The sequence below is a fragment of the Homo sapiens genome, chromosome 2 (genome assembly GCF_000001405.40).
Source record: "Homo sapiens chromosome 2, GRCh38.p14 Primary Assembly".
Lineage (NCBI taxonomy): Eukaryota > Metazoa > Chordata > Mammalia > Primates > Hominidae > Homo > Homo sapiens.
The window spans coordinates 167,489,619-167,501,991 of record NC_000002.12 but is presented as its reverse complement, the minus strand read 5'-3'; the positions used below and the strand labels follow the sequence as shown (position 1 = coordinate 167,501,991).

Genomic DNA, 12,373 nt, shown 5'->3' with positions numbered 1-12,373 from the left:
GACTTCATTTACAGTTATTTCACTAATATGCTTAAAACATGAAATGAATTAACACTTTAAAGAGTGTAAAACAGAAATGAGACACAAAGTCTTGCCATAAATGTCATATGCAATTCATTCATGTACTTGTCTCAAACTCAACACTACTTTAAAGGCTTAATGCCGAGAAACAAGTAGGTACTTCAAGATAAAGTTCAAGGTATTTAATTACTCCAAGAGTAGCCCCATGGTTGCTCAGCCTCACTGACTTTTTTTTTTTTTTTTTTTTTTTTTGCCACTGTAGATGTGTGAATTAACATTTCTGAGAACTGCTTTTAGGAGCAAAAAGTTTTCAAAATTTGGAAATGACCAAATTGATTTTATATTTACATTACAACTAGAAGTCTAATGCAAATTGTTTCATAATGATAAAAATCTTTTTTGTGTTTTGTAAATAAAATGTATTGTTTTTATCTTGGTTTTGTTGCTGTCTTTTAAGTTTAAACTTTAAACAAAAATCAGAAATTTTTTTAAAAAGCATATTTAAAAGCTTAAGTGGAAGCAACTGAAAACTTGAGATTTGAACACTAGGAATTGCAATTGAACATCTTATGTATTATTATAGCTAAAACATTACCAAATTATTTAAAATTATAAAGTGATATTAATATATTTTTAAATACTGAGTTAATACACATTTTTTATTTGCTTTCATTTGCTATTTAATAATACACAATCAGAAAGAAAAAAACAAATTTTGCCCCAATCATACTAATAAAAATCAATTAGGAGTTCAACATACCCACTTTAAAGAGTTTTCTGGATTTGTGAATTCAAAGTCCATTTCCATTTACTTCTACCACACAACATCTTATACGGTTAGTTAAAAGAATAGTCATTTTTATTATGGCTGTATTTTAATTTATTAAAATACATCCTGAAGTTGGTTGTCTCATTGATTCGTTAAATGTCTATTTTAAATGGGTTCTCTATTGTTCTACTCTAGGAATTTAACAGCAAACCAATGAAAAAAAGCCAAATTATCCAATTTATAGTTAATGGTCTCACTATCCCAGATAGTATGGTAGACTTGCTATCAGTAAAGGATTATGGTTCTAACAATCAAAGGTTATTAAATAACCAATAATTAATTACCTCATTGGCACCAACTTCTTCCCATTAATCATTCTTCCAAAGATTTTTCTACTCTTACCCCAGGAGTAAGTAATTTAGCACATGAATTGAAAGTCTCAATAACATTAGCCAAAAGATGATTAGTAATATTCATCGTTAAAGACTTATTGATGCTCATAAAAATATAGCAATAGGCAAACACTCCTGCCTTAATAATGAGCACAATATGTGCATTTTTTTTTTCCTTATAAGTCAAGTTCTATCTGAGATCCTTGTGTAGCACAGAGCCTCTTATCTATCTGCGGTTACTCTAGGGAAGAACATAACCAGAAAATCTGGATATGGCCAAACTGAGAGGAGTGCCAACTCCAGTCCCCCGATTCATAGAACAAATACAAAGGAAGAGAATTTGCTGCAAAGATCATTTCAATGACACCCCCACACAATTTTTTTTCTCATTAGTTATCATTTAAAGTGGTGATATAAAACTGGTCACATTGAACCCATGTTTTAGAAGAAGTGCCACTGAAAAATATCAACCTGTAATTGTCTGGTCATTATTTGACTAGCATTTTAATAATTTCTAAATAAATTTTCTTGCCTTTTGGGACCTATGTCTCGATAAATAAGCCCATCTGGTTTTCAATTTGTTCAATTAAGATTGACAGAGGTTGAGAACTCCTTTGCAAAACTGCATCTTCTATCCTGAGAGTCCTTATAGGCTTTTACCAGGGACTAGGAAATTGTTCCTGTGAGGCTATTGTGACATTAACTGGATGTTTTTCTCAGAAAAATTCAGAACCAAGAAGGTGAAATGATGTTTTCAAAGGAACAAAGGCCATTTTATCTCTCTTGGACTGTCTCTCTCGCATGCACAAACACACACGCACACAGGACACATATACACACACCACCCCTGACCTGCCAGTATTTTACTTAAACTTCTAGTAGTAGAAAGGAAAATCAAGTTAATTTAACTGTGGTATCTCCAGATTCCAGCCCAGCCACATACTCTCAGTTGGCTCACTTATTTCCTCTACCTACATTGTTATTTTGTTGCTCTTTACTGGGGAAAGGAAGAACTGTAATTTATTTTGTCTTTAATGTAGGGCACTGAGGTGTTTCCTAAGTGTTATGTTCTCTCTAACTCTGCTTGTATCAAGCATACATCTTATGGATTTGGTGGGGACGGTGGAAGGGGGAAAAATCCATGCATATTTCTGTGCTTATAAAAATTAAGATTTCTGTTTTTTATGCAATTACAGTGACTAGTTGAAATAAAAAGTTTGTAAAAGGCTTTTAATTTTAGGTAACCACTTCTAGTGTTGCCAGATTTGCCATCAAATATAGAAATTCAATTCTCTTCCTCTTAATATGATATGCTTATTTTTTCTTTAACAAAGATTTCGTTTTACTGCTAAATCCTTGAGTCTCATAGTACCAAATAAACTGGATCATTACCTTACTACTCTGACTGACATTTTTTCCCTTCCAAGAAATAAAACCAATAGTGCTATCTTTTAAAAAAATCATTTCTGGGGCAATGCCTTAGGGGAAAATGTGGTGATTTTTATCACAGAATATAAAATCTAGACCTGATTTTAAGATTTGTTTCATTTAAAACATAATGATGTAAGTATCAAATAGTAGACAGTAAAATCAACATGCAACTAACGCAGTCAGAATTTTTCATTTGCTAACAAATTTAGCCAAGTTAATTGTGGAGTTGAGAAAGAAAAAGGCAGGTTAATTAAAAGCAATGAGAATCTCATCATGTTGCAATTACAGGAACTACAGAATTCTTTTAATATAAAATGGAAGCAAAAATAAATATAAAAGTGTAACCACCAACTCAAAAAACGACCAACAAAATTCCCCAGGTCTTACATACAGACCAAGCAGGCTGTTTTTGTAATTATTTTAAATGGAGATACCAGCCTCTTTTCCTGTTGAAAATGTAAACACTCTTCAGAGAAGTAACACACTGATTTAAATTCATATGAAGTTAGGAAGTTATAAAAGACTGAGAGTGGGTCCTTTCTTGACAGTGGTTTTTAATAGGGGCAGCATGATGGGGATCTGCAAGGAGAAGAAAGGGAATGGGGGCAAAGAATTGACTTGGAATATGAATTGCATCTTTTTCAGAACGTCCCATATAACTAATCCTGAAATTCCAGATGACTCCTACCATCTATCACATCAACTTTAATACACTTTCTCAATTTGTTTCCCAGAATAACAAGCCCGCCTCTTTTCTTACATTAAGATCTGTTCCCATTCTTTAAATGTCTGATCTCCTACTTCTTTCAAAGTACTTTTTCTGGTATGCTTGCTACATAACATAGAAAGATATTTTAAAAAATGAATTTTAGGTCATGGCAGAGAAAGCAGGAAACAAAGCTTACTGTACCAATTTCATAAATCCCTGATTTTTGCATACCTTTTTATTAACATTCTATTAGAAGTATACTGAGTTATTACTTATTGCTACATTTTAATTCTTACGAACTTAAAAAAATCCAATAAGGAGTTGTTGAAGAGACTCTCAATTGACAGGCTCCATTCTTAATCTTATAACCATGTGTTTCTTCCAGGTTTTTGAATGAAAAAAATCAACGTGTCCTATAAAAAGCCTTGATACATTAATAAAGCACAAGCTTTGGTGATGACCTGACAAAAGCCATACTTCAGGCCAGGGAATTTCTGTAAATTGAGCAATCCTGCAACATCACTTTGCCAAAGCGTGTGTAGACCTCAGTTCTTCAACATGTCAGTACTGGGCTTTGTTATAAAATCAGAGCAGATGGTAAGAGCAAAACGGAACAGAAGTTGCATACACCTTAAGTATGAAGCCTAACACATTTAACTTTAGGCTTTCAAACTTGTTGGCACTTTTTTTTAACCAAAGACAGATTTCAAAACATTGTTAATATTTAACAGGTAGTTGAAAACTCATATACTCCTTGGTTAGTATACTACTAATTCTTAAAAGTACAGATTTTTCACTGTATCTAGTATAGAAAACATGAGATGTTGGGTACTTGGGAATCCTGTGCTCTCCATCAATGGCCTCTCTCTAAGGTCATCAATGGCCTCTGTAAGCCCTGGGTTCTTGTTTCTCCAGTCTTTCTTCTTCCTAATCTTTTTGTTGCATTTGTCACCTCAGAGTCTCCTTTTCTTAGCCAAGCCTTCTTCATATAGTTTCAAGGACAGGCACAATCCTGGTTTTGCTGACTTCTCCAATCTCCCTCAGGTTCTTTAGCTATGGGCATGGCTCAAGGCTGACTCCTTAATAACTCTTCTTTTTATCTCTTTTGTCCCAATTCAATCTAGCCTGAAGCAGAACTTCTAAGAAGGAACATCCTTTCCCAGAAAAAATCCTCTATTTTAGTAGTTGGTGATCGGTACAATTGAGCATCTTGCTTAAAGATTGATTTAAAATTTAAAATGTGGCTTTTGCTGAGACACCCTTGGCATATTCCCACTTTGGAGTTTTGGCACTTCCTTTTCCTTCTGTCTGGAATACTCTCCCTTAGGATACTAGCTCATTCACTTTTTTCAGATATTTGCTCAGATACCTCCCGCTTCATGGAGACTCTTCTAACCATCATATTTAATACTGTAACCGTTGCCCATCCCCCCTCATTTCCCTTCCTCTGCTCAACTTTGTATTTTTGTACAACAGTTCTAAATTCACATTATACATTCTTAATTCTCTTTATTAGATATTGCTCTTTTTGTTTACCATTTTCTTAGTTCCAGCTATTATAACAAAATATCATTTAAAAGATGGCCTATAAGCAACAGAAATGTACTTTTTTTTTATTATAGTTTAAGTTTTAGGGTACATGTGCACAACGTGCAGGTTTGTTACATATGTATACATGTGCCATGTTGGTGTGCTGCACCCATTAACTCATCATTTAACTATCGCAAGGAGAAATGTACTTCTACAGTGCTGGAGGCTGGAAGTTTGAAATCAGGGTGCCAGCATGGTTGGGTTCTGGTGAGAGCCTTCTTCAGGGTTACAGAGTGTCAATGTTTCATCATATCCTCATGTGGTAGAAAGAGAGGGAACTGGCTCTTTGGCCTCTTCATATAAAGGCACTAATACCATTCCTGAGGGTTCTACCTTCATGACTTCATTACCTCCCAAAGGCTTCACCTCCTAATACCATCACACTGAGAGTTAGGATTTCAACACAGGAATTTTGAGGGGGATACAAAACTTCAGTCCGTAACACCCTGATAGAATATGCTTTATTTTGTTCACTGATGTCACAAAGGCCTAGAACAGTGACTGGCACTTTGAAGGTAATCAATGACTATTACCCTAATTGAGTTTAAAAACTTCCTTATAATATCCACTACCTTCTTTCTCTTTTCACTGCCAACAGCCTAGTCTAAGTTTCTTCTCACGGTAATTAGCCAATTAGCATGCTAATTACATTTCTTTCTACTCTTCTCTTTAATCCATCTCCTTTACTGTTGGCTGATTTTCCTCTTCAAAGCCCAAATTTATCTTCTCATTAACCTTCTCAGAAACCTTCACTGTAAGGCCAAGTCAAAATTCCTTATTCTGGAACTTAAGGCCCTGCTCAGTATGACTACCAATCACATCCAGCCTCATGGGCACCCACTCCCCAGTCAACTTTAGCCAAGCTGGTATTGACTTTTTCATTTAAGAAATAGTTGACCTCCTAGTCCTAGGTCCTATGTGTGATAAAAATAATTTACTGTCAGTTTAGGCAAATGAACTGGAAGAATAAAAGCTTAAACAACATTTGTACTAAAAAAAGAAATCGAGACCACAGAAGAAAGACACTTGGCCGATTTACTCAGGTACATGTGGTCCCATGACTGAAATGTTTCTTTCTTCTACTTTCATGTTCTGGAAAAGCAAATTGTACCTATATTTAAAGGTTCAAGTTTAACTTGCTCTGTGATTGATTCTATGCCTTTTAAAAGCCATAATTCCTTTTAATAAACATTAATAATAAATGTTTTGTCTTCCACAAATATTCTGAGGTGCCTTTCCTCACCTTCATTCCCTTCACCATACGAAACATTGATTTATGGATTACATAGGCCTTCCCATCCCAAAATTCTAAGCACCATCTTTTCCCTGAAGGCATCCCTTGCCTCAAAGCTAGGATAAAACCTGGAAGGAAAAGCCTAGGAACAGATCTGGGACTCTGGGGAAGGGGTATAGGGCTTATACTTTTGATTGGTAAGAAAGCTGGCAAAGCCGGGCACGGTGGCTCACGCCTGTAATCCCAGCACTTTGGAAGGCCAAGGCGGGCAGATCACCTGAGGTTGGGAGTTCGAGACCAGCCTGACCAACATGGAGAAACCCTGTCTCTACTAAAAATACAAAATTACCCTGGCGTGGTGGCGCATGCCTGTAATCCCAGCTACTCGGGAGGCTGAGGCAGGAGAATCACTTGAACCTAGGAGGCAGAGGTTGCAGTGAGCTGAGATTGTGACATTGCACTCCAGCCTGGAAACCAAGAGCAAAACTCCATCACAAAAAAAAAAAAAAAAAAAAAAAAGGCAAGCAAGCTGGCGAAAAAAGCAAAATGGCACCTCTTCTTCATCACCTTCTCTAAGTGTATCAAAGTTTCACTTTCTCATCACTTCCCATCAACATGAAGGTTGTTAAATGATGATGAAGCTTTTGGTTTCTGCATTCCTACGTCTGCCACCAATGCTTATGAGATTATTGTTCTAGAAGGCCCTCCCAAATAATCCTCATTTATGCTTTCTCTACTCTGAATTTCTGCTGTACTTTACTGTGTTACAAACATTAAACAGTTTAGAATTTGACAACATTTTACCTTATCTTTTTGTTTTTGTCATATACATATACATTACAGAAATTCCTGAAGACAGAAATTGTCTACCCCACAGCAGTGGTTGTCATCTTTCCCTTATCAGTAAAGCCAATGGTACAACATTTAAAGAAATCAGATACCAGGGCCCCAAGTCAGTTCTGAAGAAATTGAACTACTTGTCTAGCTTTTGTAAGAAAGCTATGTTTTCAAAATGTCTCCCAAATGATTCTGATAATTTGCCAGATATGGGTATCACTGCTTTACAGAGTTTACCATGGGCTCATTAAGTAGAGAAATCTCAAAACACCTTTCAACTTTAAAATTATTTACTTTAAAATTAAAAACGTATGACTAAAGCTTGTGATTATTAATTTGCCTCATCTAGATTTTAAAACCTAACATTTGATTTTGTGAGTACCATAAAATATCTAGGAAAATTTTAGAATTAAAACTACCTGAAATTTCACCACATATGCTATTTTATGTAGATATAATCATATCAAACATACAGTTATAGAGTCTCATTTTTCTTTGACATAGTTTTATTTTAGATACTTCTTACGTGTTGTCATATTTTAAAACAGTGAAAATAACATTCCATTGGAATGAGGGTACTAACTTACTTCATCATTTTCCTATTTTGGACTTCTTAGGTATTTATTTTTTTCCCTAAAATATAAATATCATAACTGATATCTTTTTTTTTTTGAGAGGAGTCTCACTCTGTCGCCCATAACTGATATCTTTTATATAAACAATTCATTGAATATAGATGCAACTGTATTGCATTTGATCTATTTATTAAATATTTATTCTATTTTAAAATTATACACTTCATTCTTTTTTAAAAATGCTGTAATCTTAGACACAATTTTTTGCTAGTCTCTCCAATGAGTTTGTTTTCTAATTTTCAGACTCTTAGGACAATCTGCAATCAAGTATATATACAACTATAATGGGCCATAAAGTTACTCAATCTTGTTGGCATACTCTCTTGGTTTCCTATATTTAGCCCAGATCTCCCTATTACTCTGTCTCAGGAGTACTTCTAACATAAACCACACTGAAGGGATAGAAATTGTAACTGGTACATATCAGTTTCTTAAAGTGTAGCCTATAGATCACCAGTAATACAACAACATGAGGAGCTTGATAAAAGTGGAGAATCATGGACTACAAAATTAATCAGATATTTAGTTCTGAAGTCTAGGAAAATGAAATTTAAACAAGGATCCAAAGAAACTCTTCTGTATACTAATGTTTGAAAATCCAGCATTCCATATACCATGTCATCAGCAAATCTGCAGCATAGATTTAAGGTACTTCCAATGCCAACACACTTCTTATCATCCTACTTCTTCCCCCACCCAACCCTCCTGCACTGGAGTCCGTCTTTTATAGAAAATAGAGAACATGTCTATTTTATCTTTGCATTTCTGTCACTGTTGAGACTCTCCTTTGCACATAAAAACTGCATAAGAATGTTAGTTGTTTAATTTTTAACCAGATCCATACCCTGTGAAGTTAGTTTTGATCATCACACAAAATTACTTGCATGGCTTGAAATGGTTTACCTATTTTTTTCTTAAATTATAAAGCTTGTCTGGTATCTTTGGAACTTTGTTAAAATATTTCTATAGTAACTGATGTAGGGCTTTGTATATATTCACAAAATAAATGTGTCAGGCATTCTGATGTATTTGAAAATGGAAATATTAGAGGAGTGGTCCTTACACTGGAGAAAGTAGCCCTCTACCAGTGAAGTTGGTATCATCAGAAAGGTTTACAAAATAATATAACCAAATCTAAAGCATGCATCAAACATACAGAAAAATGACTATAATGTGAAAGGCTCATGAAGAATCTCTTTTCTTGACTATATCTGCATGGCCAAATTTAACTGAATACAAAAATTGATACTGCCTAATTTGATGTGCCTCATATGTAACACTGTAGTTCATGCCAGAAAGCTAACTTTGAACAGCATCAAACATGGCCTATTTTAATATCAAGATCTATAGAATATGCATATTTAAACAAGCCAGAATCTTTTATATCTTCTGCATATTTTTATTTCAATGGTGTATTATTAAAAGAGTCTTTGCCTATTATGACCTCTTTCTATAACAGAGAATACTAGGTACACACACACACACACACACACACATCTCTAAATACACACACTTGGATATAACTCACACTAATCTTGGTGCTGTCAGGGAAAACCTCAGATTCTTGATCACTGTTATTACAAAGTGCATACTGAAAAAATTCATAGTAGCTAAGAATTCAGAGTCTTTTGGGCAGTCACACTCTCTTTTACAGTTTATTATGTTAGAACATGAGACCATGAAAAACCACAACATACTTATTAGCATTGCTAAAACTCTAAGCATTGACAAAACCAAATGCTTGTAAAAATGTGAAGCAACAGGAAGGTTCTTTCAGTGCTGGTGGGAATGCAAAATGTTACAGCTACTTTGAAATACAGTTTGGCAGTTCCTTATGAAACTACACTGTCTTACCACTGGATCCAGTCATAATACTCCTTTGTATATACCTAAATGAGTTGAAAACTTCTGTCCACACAAAAATCTGCAAACAAATATTTACAGTGACTTAAAAAAGTAATTCCCAATTTGGAAACAATCAAGATATTCTTCATTAGGTAAATGGGTAAACTATGGTACATCCGTCCAATGAAATATTATTCAGTGATAAAAAGAAATGAGCTATTAAGCCACAGAAAAACATAGATGAACCTTAAAAGCATACTGCTTTGTAAAAGAAGCCAAACTGAAAAGGCTACATACTGCATTATTCCAACTATATGTCATTCTGGAAAAGGTCAAACTATGGAGGGAGTAAAAAGATCAGAGATTGCCAGGTTTCAGTGGAGGGAGAGAAGAGGGAATCAGAGGAAGATGTGGGATTTTTAGAGCAGCGAAGCTATTCTGTGTGATACAGCAGTAATGGAAATTTGTCATTATATGTGCGTCAAAACCCATGAAATATCCAATATAAAGACTGAAACCTTATGCAACTATGGACTTTAGTTTATAAGGCTCTAGCAATACTGAGTCATCACTTGTAACAAATGTACCATGTTAATACAAGAGGTTAATAATAGTGAAAACTGAGTGTGGATTGAGCGAGAAGATTATGTGGAAGCTCTCTGTGTACTTTCCAATTAATTTTTCTGAAAACATAAAATCACTTTTTTTTTTTTTGAGATGGAGTCTTGCTCTGTCACCCAGGCTGGAGTGCAGTGGTGTGATCTTGGCTCACTGCAAGCTCCGCCTCCTGGGTACATGCCATTCTCCTGCCTCAGCCTCCCGAGTAGCTGAGACCACAGACACCCGCCACCACGCCTGGGTAATTTTTTTGTATTTTTAGTAAAGACAGGGTTTCACCATGTTAGCCAGGATGGTCTCGATCTCCTGACCTCGTGATCTGCCCGCCTCGGCCTCCCAAAGTGCTGGGATTACAGGCGTAAGCCACTGCACCCAGCCCATAAAACTACTCTTTAAAAAGTCTGTTAATGAAAAAAAAAAAAAAAAAGCAAAAGTAAAACCAAAGACACAGAAGTTGTTAAAATTAAACCAAACCAAACAAAGACTACAATTCTGGTCAGATGAGACAACTTCTAGAACTGTAACTGCAGCCTTTTATGGTGATACCCCTGGTTTCGCAGTTGTTACTTCTTATTCCCGAGGTGGTACCTGTGATGATATTGGAATAAGGTACAGAAGAAATACCACAGAGTGTTCAGGCCCCATTAGCCTGAAACCTACAATTCTTCAATATTCAGTCTGGCTTTGAGTCAGGTGCAGAACCTGCTGAGCACTTAAACATTTTTTGAATGACTACTAACACAACAGAATCAGGAGTTACCCGGCCTAGTCCAAATATTGAAGTGAGGCCTAAAAGTACACACCTACCTCAGATTATGGGGAGTTCTCATTACCCTGGGGGCAAAATTTTGTCTTGTGTAAATTTCTCCAGAACCCTAAGAAAACAAGGGATCCTGCCAGAATTGAGATGTGCCCCTGGATCCTCTAAGGAAGAGCTTCTTTATCATTTTGTTAACGGAGAAGAAAAAGGAAAAGATTCCAAGTTCAAGTTTCTTGACACAAGATCAGGAATACTGGTCAATCTTTAGGTAAAATTAACTTCCACTGAAAATCTAGAACCCAATGTCTTGATTTTTTCCTAAGAAAAACTCCTCTAAGTCCAGATTTCAATCATAGACATGCATAAAAAGCAGCAGACACTGTAGGGCTTTCCAAAAGGAAAGGTTGTATTGCTCAGCAGCACAGCTCCCCAACACAAGTGTTTACAGATGTGCTAATAAGATGCCAAGGCTTCAGCCCTGGAGCTGCTCAGCAGTGCCAGTCATCTCTGCTTGTGAGCAGCCCCCTCACAGTGTATCCTAGGAATATTACCATTTTCCATGTGTGTCATGGCAAGAAGCCTGACAAAACACCTTGCAATCTCTGCTAATGGTGCTTCTATTCCAAAGTGGTTAGACTGATGCTTTGCAATTACTCTTGTTTCTACATATTATCCTACTCCAAATGTGAAGACAATATTTGGTGAGGAATTATTTCTGATCATATTTCACATGAAAGGTATAAAGCATGAAATACTACAAAGCTATAAGCAAATTCAGAGCATACTTAACATTTTGAATAATATCATCTATTTTTATATCACAGTTTTGTAAATATTCAGACTATCAAATCAAAAATAGGAATCGGCTATTACCCTATGATGAAAATTTCTGCACTCCTTTTAGGGAGCATCTGTGTCTTCACAAAATCCCTCCACTCCTGGACTGAGCAGCTCTTGAAGCGTTTCTAATGGGTCTAAAAGGAAAGAAAAATATATGAGTAACTTTGGAGGCACTTCAGCTGACATTAGCACTTTGTTTCAAGTTGTTCAGATTCTCTTTTTACCAGTTCATAAAATTTCCACATATCTTACATCAAATTATTCTGCACAAAACAATCAGCACTTGAGGAACACTTAATTTGAAAAGGAATTTTCTCCCTTTATATCATTATAATCTCCTCCTTATCCGTTTATTCAAAGACATCTGTCTTTGAATAAATGATGTCTTTACTGGTTATAAAGTCATTTTAACAATTTTCCACAATTATTTGCTTACTTTCCCCAGACATTAATTTTATTCTGCGGTCTCACTTATAATAGCAAGTATTTCCACAAGAGAAGTAGAATATTGTTAGTTCTAAACAGTCTTGTCTGTGGCTTCCTTAATACTGTCTTGTTGCTTTACTCTGCTATGATAAACTAACACATTTGGTTCCTAATCTCCTATGCCTAAGTTTTTCTAATGTAAAAATCCCTACCAAATCCCAAAGTACCCCATCAAGTCTATAATAATACTGACGTGAGCCAGTGAA

The 12,373-nt window shown here is 35.5% G+C and overlaps 1 protein-coding gene across 3 annotated transcripts in view; it reads right to left on the bottom strand.

The window, feature by feature from the left end:
• The window catches only part of B3GALT1 (beta-1,3-galactosyltransferase 1), a 581,045-nt gene that overhangs the window by 372,054 nt on the left and 196,618 nt on the right, over nucleotides 1–12,373 (bottom strand). For 2 of the 3 annotated variants that reach the window (XM_011512085.3, NM_020981.4), the window contains exon 2: nucleotides 11,715–11,815. The gene's annotated coding sequence lies outside the window, so the exon portion shown is untranslated. Of the gene's footprint in view, nucleotides 1–11,714 lie in introns of all 3 variants that reach the window. The other variant, XM_047446159.1, reaches the window with a different exon arrangement.